This window comes from Homo sapiens, chromosome 7 (genome assembly GCF_000001405.40).
Source record: "Homo sapiens chromosome 7, GRCh38.p14 Primary Assembly".
Taxonomy (NCBI): domain Eukaryota; kingdom Metazoa; phylum Chordata; class Mammalia; order Primates; family Hominidae; genus Homo; species Homo sapiens.
In genome coordinates, this window is record NC_000007.14 from 99,523,875 (window position 1) to 99,545,637 (window position 21,763).

The 21,763-nt window shown below is 47.0% G+C and overlaps 1 protein-coding gene and 1 pseudogene across 8 annotated transcripts in view; one reads left to right on the forward strand and one right to left on the reverse strand.

Moving 5' to 3' along the window:
- ZKSCAN5 (zinc finger with KRAB and SCAN domains 5) overlaps positions 1–10,826 on the forward strand; it is a 30,039-nt gene extending 19,213 nt beyond the window's left edge. For 7 of the 8 annotated variants that reach the window (NM_001318082.2, NM_145102.4, XM_017011921.3 and 4 more), the window contains 2 exons: positions 1,939–2,544; positions 7,234–10,826. In NM_001318082.2, the coding sequence (NP_001305011.1) occupies positions 1,939–2,544; positions 7,234–8,375 (1,748 nt within the window). In that variant the 3' untranslated portion in view covers positions 8,376–10,826. The remainder of the gene's footprint in view (positions 1–1,938; positions 2,545–7,233) is intronic. The other variant, NM_001318084.1, reaches the window with a different exon arrangement.
- LOC100419451 (zinc finger protein 3 pseudogene) lies at positions 16,653–17,167 on the reverse strand (annotated as a pseudogene).

Consider the following 21,763-nt stretch of genomic DNA (forward strand, 5'->3'; position numbering starts at 1 on the left):
TATCAAAAAAGGATTATGGTAGCTCCCTTAAAGGTCATTGTAAGGATTAAATATACCATAAAATTGTAAAGTACTTAGTGTAGTGCTGGACTCATAGCACTCAGCAAATGTTTAGCTCTTATTACTAATATAATACAGAAAACTCTCCTCATGAAAACATCTTGGGACATTCTTAATAGGCCATGATACTCCCTGGGTTTTTTTTTTTTTTTTTGGGACAGAGTCTCGCTCTGTCACCCAGACTGGAGTGCAGTGGTGTGATCTCAACTCACTGCAACCTCTGCCTCCTGGGTTCAAGCGATTCTCGTGCCTCAGCCTCCTGAGTAGCTGGGATTACAGGTGTGTGCCACGACGCCTGGCTAATTTTTTTCGTATTTTTAGTAGAGACAGGTTTTCATCATGTTGGCCAGGCTGGTTTCAAACTCCTGACCTCAAGTGATCCGCCTACCTCGACCTCCCACAGTGCTGGGATTACAGGCGTGAGCCACCACACCCGGCTGATAATTTTTGTATTTTTTGTAGAGACGGGGTTTCGCTGTGTTGGTCAGGCTGGTCTCGAACTCCTGGCCTCAAGTGAACCGCCCGCCTTGGCTTCCCAAAGTGCTGGGATTACAGGCATGAGCCACTGTGCCTGGCCAATACTCTATTTTTTGTTAACTACTGAAGATTTGTCTCTGCAAACCATATTAAAACATCAGTGTTTTGAGTAAAGTATCTTGCTGATACAGTTGAACAAAGGAACTAATTATAGCCACTGAAACATCCACGGTTCTATCAGTGACTGCTGAACATTAACCTAGCTCTTGAAAGTAGTAGGTTCTTCTCAGGATATAGAAAGAATGTCTTTTTTCTTTTAGATTAATTCATACCAAACTGAAATCCTTTGGGCATTGAGAAACCTAGAAAGATCACCTTTCTTTTCTAGGCTATGAATTCACAGGAAGAGGAAGGTGAAGATGGGGTTAGCTGCATAACCTGCTATCCAGTTTTATTAAGAATATTGCCCAGTCGTGACTGGGCGCGGTGGCTCATGTCTGTAATCCCAGCACTTTGGGAGGCCGAGGCGGGCAGATCACTAGGTCAGGAGTTCGAGACCACCTGGCCAATATGGTGACACCCTGTCTCTGCTAAAATTACAAAAATTAGCTGGGCGTGGTGATGTGCGCCTGTAGTCCCAGTGACTTGGGAGGCTGAGGCAGAAGAATCACTTGAACCCGGGAGGCAGAGGTTGCAGTCAGCCGAGATCGCGCCACTGCACTCCAGCCTGGGTGGCAGAGTGAGACTCCGTCTCAAAAGAAAAAAAAAAAAGAATATTGCCCAGTCGCGTTGGCTCACGTCTGTAATCCCAGCACTTTGGGAAGCTGAGGTGGGAGGATCACTTGAGCTCAGGAGTTTGAAACCAGCATGGGCAACATAATGAGACCCTCATCTCTACAAAAATATAAAAATTAGCTGAGCATGGTGGTGTGCAACTGTAGTCCTAGCTACTTGGGAGGCTGAGGTGGGAGGATCGCTTGAGCCCAAGAGGTTGAGGATGCAGTGAGCCATGATTGCCCCACTGCACTCCAGCCTGGGTGACAGAGTGAGACCCTGTCTCAAAACACACACATACACGCGCGCGCGCACACACACACACACAAGAGAACATTTAACATGATACAGGTATTTGTAAGTGCCACACTGAGAGGAGACCCTCTTCGTTCAGTGGAATGACTGATTTTCAGTCTCCTTCCTCTGAACATTTTTTGCCAGCTCTTCCTTCCCTAACCTCCCTCACTTTTCTGCTTGAATATTTTTCATCCCATCCCTGTACTGTAAAAGTCCCTTTACAGAATCATGGATCCCTAGCACATGTCAGTTTCTCTTCATTATCCCCTCATTTTATTTCTTCAAATTCAAGGAAAAGCTCATTTTTTAATTCTCCCTCTGTTATTTCAGGTTATGAGTCCAGGGACAATATGGAGCTCATAGTGAAGCAGATTTCTGATGACTCTGAATCACACTGGGTGGCGCCAGAACACACCGAAAGGAGCGTTCCTCAGGATCCAGACTTTGCAGAAGTCAGTGACCTTAAAGGCATGGTACAAAGGTGGCAGGTCAACCCCACTGTGGGGAAATCAAGGCAGAATCCTTCCCAGAAAAGGGATCTGGATGCAATCACAGACATCAGCCCTAAGCAAAGCACACATGGCGAGAGAGGGCACAGATGCAGCGATTGTGGCAAATTCTTCCTCCAAGCCTCAAACTTTATTCAGCATCGGCGCATCCACACTGGAGAAAAACCGTTTAAGTGCGGAGAATGTGGGAAGAGCTACAATCAGCGGGTGCACCTCACCCAGCACCAGCGCGTCCACACAGGGGAGAAACCCTACAAATGTCAGGTGTGCGGAAAGGCTTTCCGGGTGAGTTCCCACCTGGTTCAGCACCACAGTGTCCACAGCGGAGAGAGGCCCTATGGCTGCAATGAGTGTGGGAAGAACTTCGGTCGCCATTCGCATCTGATCGAACACCTAAAACGCCACTTCAGGGAGAAATCCCAGAGATGTACGTGTGAGGAGTTTATATCCGGGGGATAAATGGAGGCGAAAAGCAAAAGGTGTTTTATTAGTACGGTACAACAGGACAGATGGGTGGTGATACTGGGGGGGGTAGGAAGAGGCAAAGGTTATCGTTTATTTGGTTCTTATGTATTTATTTTTTGAGACAGTCTCGCTCTGTCGCCCAGGCTGGAGTGCAGTGGCGAGATCTCAGCTCACTGCAACTTCTGCCTCCCCGGTTCAAGCGATTCTCCTGCCTCAGCCTCCCAAGTAGCTGGGACAACAGGCGCGCACCAGCATGCCCGGGTAATTTTTGTGTTTTTAGTAGACACAGGGTTTCCCCATGTTGGCTAGGCTGGTTTTGAACTCCTGACCTCAGGCGATCTGCCTGCCTTGGCCTCCCAAAGTGCTGGGATTACAGGCATGAGCCACTGTGCTGGCTGTGCTCTCAGCTGTTAGTGGTTCCTTCTGGTAATTCTGTATTTTAAAATAAAACTATTATTAGTTGGCTCATCAATTTTAAATGTTATCTGTTGACTTTCTATGGTAGTAAATGAGGATTTGGCTCTCTTATATGCTTTTCTCTCTTTCCCCTTTTCCCAATTTAGTTATTTTACTTATTTTAAAACAATAGCCTGGGTACAGTGGCTCACACCTGTAATCTCAGTGCTTTGGGAGGCGGCTGAGCTAGGAGGATTACTTGAGGCCAGGCATTCAAGACCACCCTGGGCAACATAGCAAGACCTTGTCTCTACAAAAAAATTTAAAAATTACCTGGGCATGGTGGCATGTGCCTGTAGTTGCAGCTCCTCGGAAGGCTGAGGTGGGAGGATCTCTTAGCCCAGAAGTTCAAGACTACAGTGAGCTATAAATGTGTCTGTGAATAGCCACTGCACTCCAGACTGGCTAACAGAGTGAGACTTCTCAAATAACAAACAAACACAAACCCAATAAAATAACAGTAGTACAGGAAGCTTGGAGAAAATAAAAAGAAAAAATAAATCACCCATAATCACATCACCCTAACTAATAGAACTGTTATTACTTAGTATGTTTCCTTTTTTTTTTATAAGTCTGTTTCACGTAGTCGTACTCAGAATTAAATATTAAGCGTACACATTTTCCAGGGCTGTTCAGCCCTCCTTTTTATTTCTGACAGTCTGCCATTGTGTGGTGGCATTGTAATTTACTCAAGTGTTCCCAGTTGTTGAACTTCAATTTTTTTCTCTTTTGTCCCGATAACTGTTTATGCCTGTGACTTTTTCTTTTTTTCTTTTCTTTTCTTTTTTTGAGACGGAGTTTCACTCTTGTTGCCCAGGCTGGAGTGCAATGGCACGATCTCAGCTCACTGCAACCTCTGCCTCCCAGGTTCAAGCGATTCTCGTGCCTCAGCCTCCTGAGTAGCTGAGATTACAGGCATTTGCCACCATACCTGGCTAATTTTTTTTTGTATTTTTAGTAGAGATGGGGTTTCACTATATTGGCCAGGATGGTCTCGAACTCCTGACCTCAAGTGATCCACCCGCCTTGGCCTCCCAAAGTGCTGGGATTATAGGTGTGAGCTACCATGCCGGGCCAGTATTTTTAAACATCTGTTCAAATGACAGTAAATTTATCTGTGAATGAGATCGTCATAAACTGTGCTGTGAACTTAAAGGCCCTTACTAATATTCTTCAGATGATTCTAAGACCAGCCAAAATGTTTTTCTTTTTTTTTTTTTTTTTTTTAATTCTGCCTTTGATGTTTACAGCCACGCTGCATCTTCCACCATGGCACAGAAGTCAGTAAAGTGTCTTTAAAGTTCTGGGTTTGAGCTGAGCTATCCTCTCAGCTAGTGTTTTCCCGTTCTACTCGATGATTCCCTCATTTGGAAAATCCACCAATAGCGCTTTGGACTTGAAAAAGCAATCGCTTTAAAATAGTTATCTTTTGTTTTCTACCTTCCCTGCAATTGTTTCTATGGCTAGTTTCCCAGTGAATACTCACTTGCCTTCCACATTTTTTTTGTGGGGCGGGGGCGTTTTTGTATTTTGAGATAGGGTCTTGCTCTGTCACACAGGCTAGGGTAAAGTAGCGGGATCTCAGCTCACTGCAGCCTCCACTTCCTGGGCTGAACTAATCCTCCCACCTCAGCTTCCTGCATAGCTGGGACTACAAGTGTTCACCACCACACCCAGCTAATTTATGTATTTTTTGTAGAGAAGGGGTCTGGCTCTGTTGCCCAGGCTGGTCTTGAACTTCTAGGCTTAAGCGATCCTCCAGCCTTGGCCTCCACAAGTGCTAGGAGTTACAGGTGTGAGCCACCATGCCCGGTCCTCCCTCATTTTTCTGGATCAAAGGGGGAATACATGTTTTGCACATCCAGCCATATTATTGAGAGTCTGTGTTGCTAGTTGCACAGGATCTGCAGTGACCAGAACAGAGATACAGTCCATGCTCTCATGCAGCCGATGGTCTGGTGGGGGTAGCAGATAGTAAAGGTGATGAGCATTCCCAAAGGAGAAGGATGACATGCCGGGGGAGGAAAACTGAGGCTAGAATGTTGGCTAAGGGTGAAGGGGGCAGGGATTGCTGTATCACCCACCCTCTGACAATGCTTCTTGTTGGCTCATTTTGCCTTATTTCCTGACTCCTAGTCAGATATTCCCTGACTGCATACCCTCTTCATCATCCTTCACTCTCATTCTTCCAGTTTTTGTCAGTTCTCACCACCCAGTTATGTATTTGTTTTTTGTTTTTCTTTTTTGAGATGGAGTCTCACTCTGTCACCCAGGCTGGAGTGCAGTGATGTGATCTCAACTCACTGCAGCTTCTGCCTCCTGGGTTCAGGCGATTCTTCTGCCTCAGCCTCCCGAGTAGCTGGGACTACAGGCACCTACCACGATCCCTTGCTAATTTTTGTATGTTTAGTAGAGATGAGGTTTTACCATGTTGGTCAGGCTGGTCTTGAACTCCTGACCTCAGGTGATCCACCTGCCTCAGCCTCCCAAAGTGCTGGGATTATAGGCACGAGTCACCACACCCAGCCTGCTACATTTTCTTTATCAACTCATTGCTCAACGGGCACTTAGATTGGCTCCATATCTTTGCAGTTGTGAATTGTGCTGCAGAAGACAGGCGCTTACAGTCTTTTTGGTATATTGTCTTTTCCTTTGTGTAGATATACCCAGTTGTGGAATTGCTGGATCAAATGGCAGATCTACTTCTGGTTCTTGAAGAAGTCTCCATACTGTTATCCACAGAAGTTGTATTAATTTATCTCTCACCAGCAATGTATAAGCGTTCCCTTTTCACCACATCCATGCCAACATCTATTGTTTTTTGACTTCTTTGTTTTTTTTGAGATGGAGTCTCGCTGTGTTGCCCAGGCTGGAGTGCAGTGGCGCAATCTTGGCTCACTGCAACCTCTGCCTCTTGGGTTCAAGCAATTCTCTGCCTCAGCCTCTGGAGTAGCTGTGATTACAGGGCACCCACCACCATGCCCAGCTAATTTTTGTATTTTTAGTAGAGATGGGGTTTCACTGTCTTGGTCAGGCTGGTCTTGAATTCCTGACCTCGTGATCCACCCACCTCGGCTTCCCAAAGTTCTGGGATTACAGGCGTGAGCCACCTGCACCCGGCCTTTTTTTTTTTTTTTTTTTGAGATGGAGTCTTGCTGTTGCCCAGGCTGGAGTGCAATGGCGCAGTCTCGGCTCACTGCAACCTCAGCCTCCTGGGTTCAAGCGATTCTCCTGCCTCAGCCTCCTGAGTAGCTGGGATTACAGGCGCCCGCCACCATGCCCAGCTAATTTTTGTATTTTTAGTAGAGATGTGGGTTTCACCATGTTGGCCAGGCTGGTTTCGAACTCCTGACCTCAGGTGATCTGCCCGCCTCGGCCTCCCATAGTGCTGGGATTACAGGTGTGAGCCACCACGCCCGGCCTTTTGACTTCTTAATAATGGCCATTCTTGCAGGAGTAAGGCAGTACCTTATTGTGGCTTTAATTTGCACCTTCCTGATGATTAGTGATGTTCAGCATTTTTTTCATGTTTGTTGGTCATTTGTATATATTATTTTGAGAACTGTCTCCATGTCATTTGCCTACTTTTTGATGGGATTTTTTTTTTCTTGTTGACTTGTTAGAGTTACTTGTAGATTCTGGATATTAGTCCTTTGTCTGATGCATAGTTTGCAAATATTTTCTGCCATCCTGTGGATGAGTCTTGCTCTTTTCGTCAGAAAATTCCAAAAGTTTGTTGTTTACATTCCTGTTGGCATCAAGTACACACACACATCCACCTCTGTTACTCCCGTTACATCATAGTTTCATCTGATGAACATTTTTTATGACAGTTTATTTTTCCTTTATAAAAGAACTGATGGGCCAGGCACGGTGGCTTAAACCTGTAATCCCAGCACTTTGGGAGGCTGAGGCGGGTGGATCACCCAAAGTCAGGAGTTTGAGACCAGCCTGGCCAACATGGCAAAACCCCATCTCTACTAAACATACAAAAATTAGCTGGGTGTGGTCATGCACGCCTGTAGTCTCAGCTACTTGAGAGGCTGAGGCAGGAGAATCACTTGAACCCAGGAGGCAGAGGTTGCAGTGAGCCGAGATCGCATCATTGCACTCTAGCCTGGGCGACAGAGCAAGACCCCATCTCAAAAAAAAAAAAGAACTGATGACATTTTCACTTGCTCTTTATTTTTTTTAGGCAGTGACAAAAGAAGTAAGAACACAAAATTAAGTGTTAAGAAGAAAATTTCAGAATATTCAGAAGCAGACATGGAACTATCTGGAAAAACCCAAAGAAATGTTTCTCAAGTTCAAGATTTTGGAGAAGGCTGTGAGTTTCAAGGCAAGCTGGATAGAAAGCAGGGAATTCCCATGAAAGAGATACTAGGACAACCATCTTCAAAGAGGATGAACTACAGTGAAGTCCCATATGTCCACAAAAAATCCTCCACTGGAGAGAGACCACATAAATGTAACGAGTGTGGGAAAAGCTTCATTCAGAGTGCACATCTTATTCAACATCAAAGAATACACACTGGGGAGAAACCATTCAGGTGTGAGGAATGTGGGAAAAGCTACAACCAACGCGTGCACCTAACTCAGCATCAGCGCGTCCACACAGGTGAGAAGCCCTACACCTGTCCCTTATGTGGGAAAGCCTTCAGAGTGAGGTCCCACCTTGTTCAGCATCAGAGCGTGCACAGTGGGGAGAGACCCTTCAAGTGTAACGAATGTGGGAAAGGCTTTGGGAGGCGTTCCCACCTGGCTGGACATCTTCGACTCCACTCCCGAGAGAAATCCCATCAGTGTCGTGAATGTGGGGAAATCTTTTTTCAGTACGTTAGCCTAATTGAACATCAGGTGCTCCACATGGGTCAGAAAAATGAAAAAAATGGCATCTGTGAGGAAGCATATAGTTGGAACTTGACAGTGATTGAAGACAAGAAGATTGAGTTACAAGAGCAGCCTTATCAGTGTGATATCTGTGGAAAAGCCTTTGGTTATAGCTCAGACCTCATTCAGCATTACAGAACTCATACAGCAGAGAAGCCCTATCAATGTGATATATGTAGAGAAAATGTTGGCCAGTGTTCCCACACCAAACAACATCAAAAAATCTACTCCAGCACAAAATCCCATCAATGTCATGAATGTGGCAGAGGCTTCACTCTGAAGTCACATCTTAATCAACATCAGAGAATCCATACTGGTGAGAAACCTTTTCAATGTAAAGAATGTGGAATGAATTTCAGCTGGAGTTGTAGCCTCTTTAAACACCTGAGAAGCCATGAGAGGACAGATCCCATAAATACCTTAAGTGTAGAGGGGTCTCTGTTGTAGAATAGCTCTTAATTTTAGAGAAACCTTCCTGGAGGGAAACCATACTCCTATAATGAGCAAAGTAACAACTTCAAGCATTTTTCCAGCGTTACCATCAAACTCACAAATAGGTTGAAATCCTTTAGTTATAACTCAGCCTTTAGGAACACCGGAGAACCCACAATAATAGAAATCTTTTCGTGTTCCCCATTGAGAAATGCTTTAGTTAGCATCTTCATGCTTGGAAATCTAGACAAGAAGAGAATCCATGGATGGACATGGTCGAGGAATTCGGAAAGCCTGCAGTTGACATTCAGTCTTCACTTGAAACTCAAAACTGACACTAGGAACAGCTTCATGAGTTCAGTAGAAGTAAGCTTTATTTGTAGCTTCTGCCTTGTTTGACGGCGTATCTATTCAGGGAAGCGCACAGTAAAAGAATTCCTTAGCATGATGTCTGTTTTGGTACCTCAGCAATGAACCTTTTCTAGAAATTATTATTCCAACCACTAGAATACCCTAGTCACTATTCCCACTTTGAGCATTAACCCCTTTGAAAAGAAATGGACTTAAAGTATCTCTGTTTTGGCAAAATTCAGGTTCAGGGGCTGGATGGTATGTGTTTCTGCTGCCTTATTCAATCCACCACTTCTCTGTGAAACACTCTACCTTGTTTTTGGTTTGATTCTACTGATGTCAGGGTTTAGCCGGTAGAAGGAGTAGTTCAGTTTGTCAATTCAGGAGAAACTGTACTGGTCAGTCACATCTTACGGCGAAGGGAGAGGGACCTTAGGGGAGCAGAGAAGACAGGCAAAGTTGTGGACTGTTTGATCTTGTATTACCCACAGGAATGAGGGCAGCTAAACCCATAGAAGGAGTTGGACCAAGGCGAATTACGAGTCCTGGTCCCAGCAGTATGTGTGCTGACTTCTGGGTGCCCCAGAAATAGACCTCTCCTGTAGAGTGGTGATATACAGAATGAGTTTCAGTTTGCATTGCAGCTGGGATTGAAAGTAATCAGTCGTGAGCAGGCAGGCAGGAGGTCCTGTTAGCCCTGCCTTCCAGGAAGGTTGGGGTGGGAGTTTTGAGTGGGAAAGAGGATGACATGTGTGAGAGAGTTCTGAGCCTGTTTGCTAGGGAGAGTGAGTGAGTGCTCTTGGGCACTGCTCAGGCCGTTTCTGCTGACTTGCCTGGCTTACAATAAATGCCCAATAAATATTTGTTGACCATATGTGTTGTACACTGTGGTGCCCTGTCCAGTCCCCTCTACCAAGCTGAGACCCCCATCCCCAGCTGCTCTGAGTTTGGGCTGCAAGTGCTCACAGCTCTTGTTCTCCAGAAACTGGAGAATTGCCCTCAGGAGATGAGAGCCATCTCACCTCACCCAGGAGTCACTTCCTCTCTACACCCCAACACCTGGTTCATTTGATTAAAGCGGAGAAAACTCCAGGGTGCTATGACTGCTCTGGCACCCTTGGATCAGGCCAAGCTAGACTTTTTCTGAGCCTTCATCCGTGCTAAGCTCTCTCCCTTCTCTATCCTGTTTCATTCCCTCCCTCAAAGGCGTTTCCCAAATAAATCACACTGTCAATCACATGGTTCTGAATCCCTGTCTCAGGCTCTGCTTTAGAGAACCTGATCTAAGACATTTGGTGCCACAAGTGGTCATAGGAAGCTGCTGTGAGAGTGGATTGTGGAGTTGGTCACTCGCCAGGAGGGAGTGAAGACCCGCATCACTGTTAATAGTCCTGGCATGTGGTACCTGTCCAGTCACTAAGTCATTCACTTGTGGGGAACTGGGATGAGATACAGGTGGAAAGCGATCTATTGACTTGTAGAGGTTTGGGACAAACAGGAAAATAAAGATTATGGAATTGGGTGGCTCTTGCTGAAAGTCACTGAATCCTTGAAGAGAAGAAAATGACAGGGCAAATAACCACCAATTTAATGCCAAGTGTGTGTCAGAGGACCTTCTTGGTAGCTTTTTAATTTTTTTATAGACAGGGTCTTGCTCTGCTGCCCAGGCTAGAGTGCAGTGGTGCAATCACAGCTCACTGCAGCCTTGACCTCCCGGGCTCAAGTGGTCTAGCCACCTCAGCCTCCTGAATAGCTGGGACTACAGGCACATGCCACCATGAGTGGCTAATTTTTAAAAAACATACTTTAGCTGGGCGCGGTGGCTCATGCCTATAAACCCAGCACTTTGGGAGGCTGAGGCGGGCAGATCACGAGGTCAAGAGATCGAAACCATCCTGGCCAACCAACATGGTGAAACCCGGTCTCTACTTAAAATACAAAAATTAGCTGGGCATAGTGGCGCATGCCTATAGTCCCAGCTACTCCAGAGGCTGAGGCAGGAGAATCGCTTGAACCCGGGAGGCAGAGGTTGCAGTGAGCTGAGATCACGCCACTGCACTCTAGCCCAGTTGACAGAGCGACAGTGTCTAAAAAAAAAAAAAAAAAAAAAAAAAACATTTTTTGGAGAGATGGTATCTCCCTATGCTGCCCAGAGTGGTCTCGAACTCCTGGGCTCAAGTGATCCTCCAGCCTTGGCCTCCCAAATGTTGGGATTACAGGCATGAGCTACTGCACCTGGCCTTGGAGTGATTCTTGAAAGCTTAGAAAAGTCAGTGGCCCACATTAAATGACGTAGAGATGACAAAACCATGGCAGACTTAACAAAGGGATCCAAAGATTCATACATACACAAACTAGGATGGAACTAGAAGATAAGACCAAGCAACCCACCTTCAGTTATGTTCCTTAGGAGGGTCTGGAGAGCATTCTGTTTACCAAGGTTCCAAGGAATGCCCTGGTTGGGGGGCCATCAGCATCACTGAGAAGCTTGGTAGTGGCTATCCTGGTTTGCAGGGGCTGGTTATTATATAACATCACCCCAGACCATTCACATTACAGCCAGAGGTGCAGCAGTGGGCATGTGGCCATGGGGACCATTGTTTGTTTGTTTTTTGTTTTTTGAGACAGGGTCTCGCTTTGTCACCCAGGCTGGAGTGGAGTGGCATGATTACAGCTCACTGCAGCCTCAACTTCCCGGGTGCCAGCGATCCTCCCACCTCAGCCTCCCAAGTAGCTGGGACCAGAGGCATGTGCCACCATACGTGGTTCATTTTTGTATTTTTGGTAGAGACAGGGTTTTGCCATGTTGCCTGGACTGGTCTCAAACTCCTGAGCTCAAGCAGTCCACCCGTCTCAGCCTCCCAAAGTGCTGGCATTACAGACATGGGCCACAGCACCAGGCTATTTATTTTCTATTTTTGGTAGAGATGGGGTCTCACTATGTTGCCCAGGCTGGTCTTGAACTCCTGGGATCAAGGAATACTCCTGTCTCTGCCTCCTAAAAATGTTGGGATTATAGGCATGAGCCATCATGCTTGGTTCATACACTCTTTAAACCAACAGCCATTAAAAGGTGCTGTCTTTAATAGGCAGAATAAGGCCAGGCACTGTGGCTCATGCCTGTAATCCCAGCATCTTGAGAGGCCAAGGCAGGAGGATTGCTTGAGCCCAGGAATTCAAGATCAGCCTGGGCAACATAGTGAGATCCTCCCTACTCTGCCAGTGCCCCACCGTCTACAAAAAATAAAATAGATTAGTTGGGTGTGATGCTGCATGCATCTGGACCTAGTTACTTGGGAAGCTGAGGTGGGAGGATCACTTGAGCCCAGGAATTAAAGGCTGCAGTGAGCTATGATCACACCACTGCACGCTAGCCTGGGCAACAGAGCAAGACCCTATTGCAAATAAATAAATAAATAAATGAAATAATGGAATAGTGTTTCAGAATTCTTCTGCAGCATTGTGCCCAGTCTCTTTAAAACATTGGGGTGGGCCAGGCACAGTGGCTCATGCCTGTAATCGCAGCACTTTGGGAGGCCGAGGCATGTGGATCACTTGAGGTCGAGAGTGAGGACCATCAGTCTTGAACTGATGAAAAAAAAAAAGAAGATGAGGTCTTACTGGGATGGGATGAGCCCCTAATCCAAAGTGACTGGTGTCCTTATGAGAAGCTGACTGTGTGGCCAACGTGGTGAAACTCCATCCCTACTAAAAATACAAAAAATTAGCTGGGTGTAGTGGCAGGCGCCTGTATTACCAGCTAATCAAGAGGGTGAGGTGGGAGGATCGCTTGAACCTGGCAGGTAGAGGTTGCAGTGAGTCGAGATCATGCCACTGCACTCCAGCCGGGGCGACAGAGTAAGACTCCGTCAAAAAAAAAAAAAGAAGGAAAGAAAAAGAAAAATAAGAAAAAAAAAAACCATTGGGGTGAAGGTGAAAGCAAAGACTTTCAACAGGAATTTTTGCCTCCTTAAAAATGAAGTCCTACTTTACTTCAAGTTTGGCTTGAAGCCAAACTATGCCCCTTCTTACCATGTTTCGTATAAATTCATATTGGCCGTCCCTTATCAGGATATTAGCCTCTTTTTGACAACTCTTTCAGATCTGTTTGGTGTGATTAGATAGGTGCAAATTACAAGTTGTCATAAACTGTGTTCTCCACTTCTCCCCAGCCAGAAGGAATTATTGAAGTCCCAGCCCCTAGTACCTCAGAATGTGACCTTATTGGAGATAGAACCATAGCAGATATAATTAGTTAAGACAAGGTCTCGGTCGGGCATGGTGGCTCATACCTGTAATCCCAGCACTTTGGGAGGCCGAGGCAGGTGGATCACTTGAGTTCAGGAGTTCGAGACCAGCCTGGCCAATATGGTGAAACCGCGACTCTACTAAAAATACAAAACTTAGCTGGGCGTGGCGGGCGCCTGTAATCCCAGCTACTCTGGAGGCTGAGGCAGGGAGAATCGCTTGAACCCAGCTACTCTGGAGGCTGAGGCAGGGAGAATCGCTTGAACCTGGGAGGCGGAGGTTGCAGCGAGCTGAGATCGCGCCACTGCACTCCAGCCTGGGCAACAGAGTGAGATTCTGTCTCAAAAAAAAAAAAAAAAAAAGACAAGATCTTACTGGGATGGGATGAGCCCCTAATCCAGTGACTGATGTCCTTATGAGAAGCTGACTGTGTGGACACAGGCACACAAGAGAGAAGGTCACGTGATGGCAAGGGCAGAGACTGGGGTTATGCAGCTGCAAGCCAAGGAATGCCAAAGATTGCCAGCAAACCACCAGAAGCTATGAAGAGCCAAGGTTTCCCTTGCAAGTTTCAGGGATAGACCTGCTGACACCTTAGTTTCTGACTTCTAAACTCCAGTACTGAGAGACAATACATTTTTATTGTTTTAAACCACCCAGTTTGTGGTACTTTGTTACAGCAGACCTGGGAAATGAATGCACAAGTGTATTCTCCTTTGTGAATATTAGCAAATTAAGGATTTTTTTTTTTTTTTGAGGTGGAGTCTTACTCTCTCGCCCAGGCTGGAGTGCAGTGGTGCGATCTCGGCTCACTGCAACCTCTGCCTCCTGAGTTCAAGCGATTCTCCTGCCTCAGCCTCCTAAGTAGCTGGTATTGAAGAGCCAGCCGCACAGCTGTGTGTGGGAGCCACCTGACTAAGCAGCCGAGACAAGGCGGACAGTATAAGAGAACTAGTGTAAGTGAGCTGCTGATGAGAGCTGCTAAATAAAACTACATTTCACCTGCCTACGGCCCCCTGAGTGTTTTCAGCTATCTGCTCATCCACTCACTCCCTTTGGACCTCAGCATGAGTTGGAACCTGACCCTGGGCATGACAGTTGGCGTAGTCGTGAACCTGACACCGATGGAACAGTATAGCTCTAAGGCGATCAATTGGAATATGAAACAGTTAATTTTTACATTGAGTTATTTCCATTTGTTAAAAGTGAAAAAGGGGGAAATGATTAAAATCTGCTTTTTTTGTTGTTGTTGTTAAGACAGAGTCTCACACTGTCACCCAGGCTGGAGTGCAATGGTGTGACTATGGTTCACTATACCCTCGACTTCCTGGGCTCAAGTGATCCTCCCACCTTGACCTCCTGAGCAGCAGGGACTACAGGTGCTCACCATCATTCTTGGTGCTCACCATCATTTTTAATTTTTTTGTGTGAGGAGACGGGCTCTCACATGTTGCCCTGGCTGGTCTCTTAACTCCTGACCTCAAGCAATCCTTCCACCTCAGCCTCCTGAGTAGCTGGGTCCATAGGCGCACACCATCGTGCCTGGCTGATTTTTGCATTTTCGTAGAGATGGGGTTTTGCCATGTTGCCTAGGCTCATCTCAAACTCCTGGGCAACAGATCAAGCGATCCTCTGACTTCAGCCCACTTCGGCCTCCCAAAGTGTTGGGACTACAGGCATGAGCTGCTAACACCTGGCACTGCTGTCTCTTTAGGAAGAAAAACCCATAAGAACATTAAAGACTTCCTAAAGCAATTGGTCTTAACATTTTGGGGATAAGGTAGCCTTCTTAGACTCTGTTGAAATCCACTGGCCTTTCCCCCAGAAAAGTCCATATTTTGAGTCTGATGCACAATCTCAGAATGTCTGTGGACCCACTAGGGCTATCTGAAAATTCCAAAAGAAGGGACATAGAGGAAAAACTGGCTGAGGGGAATTGCATTAGGAGCACTGGGGGTAGTGAAAACAATCATACCTAAAGTAAGAGAACACCAAAGCATTACCAGGCATGGATGGCATGTTAGAGAGTGGGGAAAAGGCAGGTTTACAGAGTCTGCACTACAAATGAGAAAGTAGGCAAAAAGAAAAAAAAAGTACTTTGGCAGCTCAAAGTAATAATAAAAAAGAGGGAAGAAAATTACCTTTTTTCCTGTTTTTTGAGACAGGGTCTCACTCTGTCCCCCAGGCTGGAGTGCAGTGGCATGATCTCAGCTCACTGCAATCTCCACTTCCTGGGTTCAAGCAATTCTCCTGCCTCAGCCTCCCGAGTAGCTGGGACTATAGGCACCCATCACCACGCCCAGCTAATTTTTGTATTTTTTGGTAGAGATGGGGTTTCACCATGTTTGCCAGGCTGGTCTTGAACTCCTGACCTCAGGTGATCCACCTGCCTCAGCTGCCCAAAGTGCTGGAATTACAGGCATGAGCCACCACGCCCGGCCTTATTTTTTTCCCTTTTGCTTTGATGATATACATTCTCTACATAATAATCATTCAGTACTAGTACAGAAAACTCTTGTATTTCTTAAAAACCTAAGCATGATTGTTAACCTCGATGATATTTCCCTGAGGGAGCCCACGTGCTTAGCCAGGGCCAGCAAATAAAGCCAAAGAGTGATGAGTGGAGGTCAAGAGAAAACTCTCAGAGGTCACCCTAAAATCAGCATTTGTGGCTTAGATAACGCTGTTATATTTCAAGGGTTATGTCCCTTCCTATCAGGGAATCTTCCCTTGGTCTCGACATCCCTGACCCTTGCTCAGTATTTTTTCCACTGGCTGACATGTGAAGATAGGACATGGGAAGTGAAAACACACACTCTCTCCCCTGCCTGGGCTATCTATTCAACACCATGTAATTAACCCTGGGGTGAAGGAAAACACCACATGTCTTCGCTCATGTGGTATTTTATTCACAAGACACACAGCTTTGGAATAGTGGTTTCTATCCTTTGCTGGGTATTGTTGCTTATGACCAAGGAAATCTAGTCTTTTTTTTTTTTTTTTTTTCCCGAGACAGGGTCTTTCCCTGTTGCCCAGGCTGGAGTACAGTGGCACAATCACAGCTCACTGCAGCCTTGAACTCCTGGGCTCAGGTGATCCTCTTGCCTCAGCCTCCTGAATAGCAAGGACTATGGGTGCACCACTGAGCCTTCCTAATTTTTAAAATTTTTTGTAGAGTTGAGGTCTTGCTATGTTGCTCAGGCTAGTCTTGAACGCCTGGCCTCAAGTGATCCTCCCATTTTGACCTCTGAAAGTGCTGGAATTACATGTGATAGCCACTGACCCCAGCAGAAACCGAGTCCTTTTTTTTTTTTTTTTTTTTGAGACGGAGTCTTGCACTGTCGCCCAGGCTGGAGTGCAGTGGCATGATCTTGGCTCACTGCAAGCTCCACCTCCTGGGTTCATGCCATTCTCCTGCCTCAGCCTCCCGAGTAGCTGGGACTACAGACACCCGCCACCACACCCAGCTAATTTTTTGTACTTTTAGTAGAGACAGGGTTTCACTGTGTTAGCCAGGATGGTCTCGATCTCTTGACCTCATGATCCGCCCGCCTCGGTCTCCCAAAGTGCTGGGATTACAGGCGTGAGCCACCGTGCCCGGCCAGAAACCTAGTCTTTTAGAGCTTTTCTCTGTCACGTCACTCCTGAGATGTGGGTTTTCTGGCATCTTAAAAGATGAGGTCTCCACCAAATCTCTTCTCCCATGCATGACACTCGTAAGGTTTATCTCTCAGGTAGATTCTATAATGTAAAATTAAGCTAATGCTGTGGCCCAAACTTTCCCACCTCCAGGATTTACAGGGCTTCTCTTCTGTCTACCACAAATGTCATGCTGAGGCTGGAAGCCTTTTCACACCCATTACACTGTAGGGTCTCTCCCCAGGCGGATTCTTGGTGCACAGTGAAGCATGAGCTTGACGTGAAGCTTTTCCCACACTCGCCGTAAGGGTGGAATTGCTCTTCAGTGGAGCTACCTGGTGGTGATGAGAGCTGAGCTTGGCCTGAAGCTTCTGCCACTCTCACTACATGTTACAGTTTTGTTTCAGTGTGGATTCTTCCATGCACCATCCCAGTGGTGCATGTAAAGTGTTCTCACAGTCAAGGCAATGATATCACCTCTCCCTGGTGCAATTCATGGTGAGGTCCGAGCCAGAACTAAAGCTCTTCTTGCACTTGCCACATGTTTGGGGCCTCTCCTGGGTATGCACTTTCAGCTCTGCTCTGGCTGGAGCTTTTCCTACATTCTTTTTTTTTTTTTTTTTTGAGACGGAGTCTCGCTCTGTCACCCAGGCTGGAGTGCAGTGGTGCGATCTTGGCTCACTGCAAGCTCCGCCTCCCAGGTTCATGCCATTCTCCTGCCTCAGCCTCTCGAGTAGCTAGGACTACAGGCACCTGCCACCATGCCCGGATATTTTTTTTGTATTTTTAGTAGAGACGGGGGTTTCACCGTGTTAGCCAGGGTGGTTTCGATCTCCTGACCTCGTGATCCACCTGCCTTGACCTCCCAAAGTGCTGGGATGCCACTGCGCCTGGCCTACATTCTTTACACTGGTAGGGCTTCTCTCTGGCATGTGTCTTGTGATGACACACCACGTTAGAACTCTGCCCAAGTTTTTTTCCACTTTCCCCTATATGGGTTATGAAGACTATTTTTTCTGGGCTTATTTTCCAGACATCTCTGTGCACATCTTCACATCGGACCTCTCTCTCCCGATCTCCTCTTCCTGGCTTTGCCCACCTTGCAAAACCATGGCCAGTTTATTTTTTGGTTTCTCCTTATAATGTCCTGGCAGGTATTTTTTTTTTCACCATTTTCTGCATTGAAGGCCTTTTCCTTCTTCACATTAGAATCCAAAGGCAAAAGTACAAAGTGAAGGTGTTAGACTTAAAATAGGGTGTGGAACCGGGAAAAAAAATAACAGGAACAATTGCATTAGATTAAGTGTAAGTTTCTTTGAAGTAATTTACAGAGCTCAAAGGCAAAGCTAGAAGGAAGGTAGCTTTGGGTGACTCTGTCGAAACAACCCGAGCAAGGTGTTTTTCATAGGCTCATATGGACTGCTTCTTTTTTTTTTTTTTTTTGAGATGGAGTCTCTGTTGCCCAGGCTGGAGTGTAGAGGCATGATCTCAGCTCACTGCAACCTCTGCCTCCCAGGTTCAAGCGATTCTCCCACTTCGGCCTCCCAAGTAGCCGGGATTACAGGTGCCTGCCACAGCCCTCGGCTAACTTTTTTTTTTTTGAGATGGAGTCTTGCTCTGTCGCCCAGGCTAGAGTGCAGGGGCTTGATTTTGGCTCACTGAAACCTCTGCCTCCTGGGTTCAAGTGATTCTCCTGCCTCAGCCTCCCAAATAGCTGGGACTACAGGTGCCTGCCACCATGACCAGCTAATTTTTTATTTTCAGTAGAGATGGGGTTTCACCATGTTGGCCAGGCTGGTCTTGAACTCCTGACCTCAACTGATCCTCCCACTTTGGCCTCCCCAAGTGCTGGAATTACAGGCGTGAGCCACCACACCTGGCCTGAACTGCTTGTGAATGATCATTTTACAGCCTGCCATGTATTTACTTCCTCTACAAAGACCTTTGTGCTTAATTCTTCGCCAGTCTTCTCTACAGTCCCTCATTTAATTGAAATTACTCATTTATAAGCCTCTTTTAACATTTATTTATTACTTGTGTAGCACTTACTAAACATCAGGCAGTCTCCTAAGTGCATTACATGTATTAATTCAGTTATTTCACACAGTAACTGCATTAGGTAGGTACTATCATATATGTGTTTATTTATCAATAGGTATTTTTCATCCATGTAGAAAAGAGTGTTAGAAAAAGACTGGGGGCTGGGCACAGCGGCTCAGGCCTGTAATCCTAGCACTTTAGGAGGCCGAGGTGGGAGGACTGCTTGAGCCCAGGAGTTCAAGAACAGCCTGGGCAACACAGTGAGACCCCATTGCTACAAAACATACCAAAATTAGTGGGGTGGCATACGCCTATAGTCCCAGGAGGCTGTGGTGGGAGGATCACTTGAGCCTTGGAGGTTGAGACTGCAGTGAGTTGTGATCATGCCAACCTGGGCACCAGAGAAAGGATCTGTCTGCCATCCTCCCACCCCAGGCCCCGCCAAAAAAAAAAAAAAGAAAGAAAAAAAAAGTATAGCCTCACAGAAATCTTAGGCCACTTCGGTTAGGGAGTGACAGTCCCACGACTAACTTGGGTCTCCTGACTCCTGTCTATGGGACTTTCTGCTAACACTCACCTTCTAACTCCAATTCCACCTGTCCCAAGTCAAAAACCCTAATTTCAGCATCTCCGGGTCGGGGTCCAGGTGCCTCACCGTCCCTTTTGCTTGTGTCCCACGCTCCAGACTCCGCGCGCGCCTGGGCGAGGCTGTTGGGTAGGGCGTGCGCACGAGGCACCCAGGATGGGGGACGGAGGTGTTCACTGCAGGCGCCAACCGCATGCTCACAATGCTCACCTGCAGGCCTTGCCACCCAGGGTGGGTATGGAGCACTGGAGTCTTCTGTATAACTACAGTTCTGGCTCTGGATTTTCCGAGATCGCGACTGTGGCCGAGGCAGGGGCACCAGCAACCAGTGGCGCTCAGTGAAGGGCAGGCTGGGTCTGTTCCGCCATTTGCCGGACCGGGGTGGCCGAGCCGAGGACCTGGAGGAGAAGCGCCCTGCGCCCTCGGTCCGCCCACTCCCAAAGCCTTTCTTCGCTATCCCAGGAAGCAGCCCTGAGTTGTGGTTTGCGCCCGGGTGTGGGTTCTGTTCTGCAGCCCAGGCTCTGTCCGTGGTCTATGAAGGAGCCACCTAATACCGAGGGTCTGTGAGCTGGAGTGCCCATTGGCCAGGAGTCCCCAGCTCTGGGCAGAGGGAAGGCTTGGGCCTCAGGCGGGCTCAACACACCCTTAGCCGGTCAGCGTGGGGACCAAGTGTGGTGGGGCTGCAGAGGGCCTAGGAAAAGGAGAAAGGGGTTGAAGAGCAGCTACCTCCCGTTTGCTCTGTCTGGCACAGGGGCACCAACCCCTGGAAGTGGATAGAAGCACTTTAACTTCAAGTTTGAAGTTTGGAAAACTTCAGGCTTCACCTTGTACCCCAGTGAATGGCTAAACTAGCAAATCGATGGCCACTGTCTGATGTGTCCAACAGACGTGCCATTTGTCCCTCACTATGTTTTCGGTATCTTTGAGGCAACATTAAAAATTGGATTTCAGGCCAGGCTCAGTGGCTCACGTCTGTAATTCCAGCACTTCTGGAGGCTGAGGCAGGAGGACCACCTGAGGCCAGGAGTTCAAGGACAGCCTGGGCAACACAGTGAGACCCGTCTCTACAAAAAAATAAAAACTATGAGGCAGGAAGATCACTTGAGCCTGGAGGAGGCTGCAGTGAGCCGTGATTGCAAAGTGCATTCCAGCTGAGTGATGGAATTAGACCCTCTCTGAAACAAACAAACAAACAAACAAATCACCATCATCACTATCTTCTTTCTTGTGTCCTGATTTTTTTTTTTTTTTTTTTTTTTTTTTTGAGGAGTCTCGCTCTGTTGCCAGGCTGGAGTGCAGTGGTGTGATCTCCGCTCATTGCAACCTCCGCCTCCCGGGTTCAAGCAATTCTCCTGCCTCAGCCTCCCAAGTAGCTGAGATTATAGGCATGCGCCACCACACCCAGCTAACTTTTTTGTATTTTTAGTAGAGACAGGGTTTCACCATGTTAGCCAGGATGGTCTCTATCTCTTGACCTCATGATCTGCCCGCCTTGGCCTCCCAAAGTGCTGGGATTATGGGTGTGAGCCACCGTGTCTGGCCTTTTTTTTTTTTTTTTTTTTTGAGACAGAGTCTCGTTCTGTTGCCCAGGCTGGAGTGCAGTGGCACAATCTCTGCTCACTGCAACCTCTCCCTCTCAGGTTCAAGCGATTTTCCTGCCTCAGCCTCCCAAGTAGCTGAGATTACAGGCACACACCACCACACCCAGCTAATTTTTGTATTTTTTTTTAGTAGAGATGGGGTTTCACCATGTTGGCCAGGCTGGTCTCAAACTCCTGACATCAAGTGATCCACCTGCTTCGGCCTCCCAAAGTGCTGAGATTACAGGTGGGAGCCACTGCACCTGGCCTCTTGTATCCTTTTTGAGAACAGGGGAAGTCACAGAAATATCCCGATAGATGGCCTAAATGTCTCATTAGCTGAATTATAACACATGCCCATCTAAAAAAACCCAGCATATTGTTAAACCAAGACTGGCATTAAGACTCACTTCCGGTGGTGTGTGGTAGCTCACGCCTGTAATATCAGCACTTTGGGAGGCTGAGGTGGGTGGATCACCTAAGGTCAGGAGTTCGAGAACAGACTGATCAAAATGGTGAAACCCCGTCTCTACTAAAAATACAAAAAATTAGCCGGGTGTGGTGGTGGGCACCTGTAATCCCAGCTACTCGGGAGGCTGAGGCAGGAGAACCCCTTGAATCCGGGAGGTGGACATTGTAGTAAGCCGAGGTTGCACCACTGCACTCCAGCCTGGGCAACAAGAGTGAAACTCCATCTCAAAAAAAAAAAAAAAAAAAAAAGACTCATTTCCTGGAATTAGAACAAAAAAGGAAAAGCACATAGACAGGGAGTAACAGAACATCAACAAGGCTCTGATGGAAAAGAGGAAGCAAGGCGATGGCGGTGGACAGGGGAACAGATTTGAGTATAAAAGTAAGTGTTAAAAGCGCTATTTAGGCCAGGCCTGGTGGCTCATGCCTGCAATCCCAGCACTTTGGGAGGCTGAGGTGGGTGGATCATCTGAGGTCAGGAGTTTGAG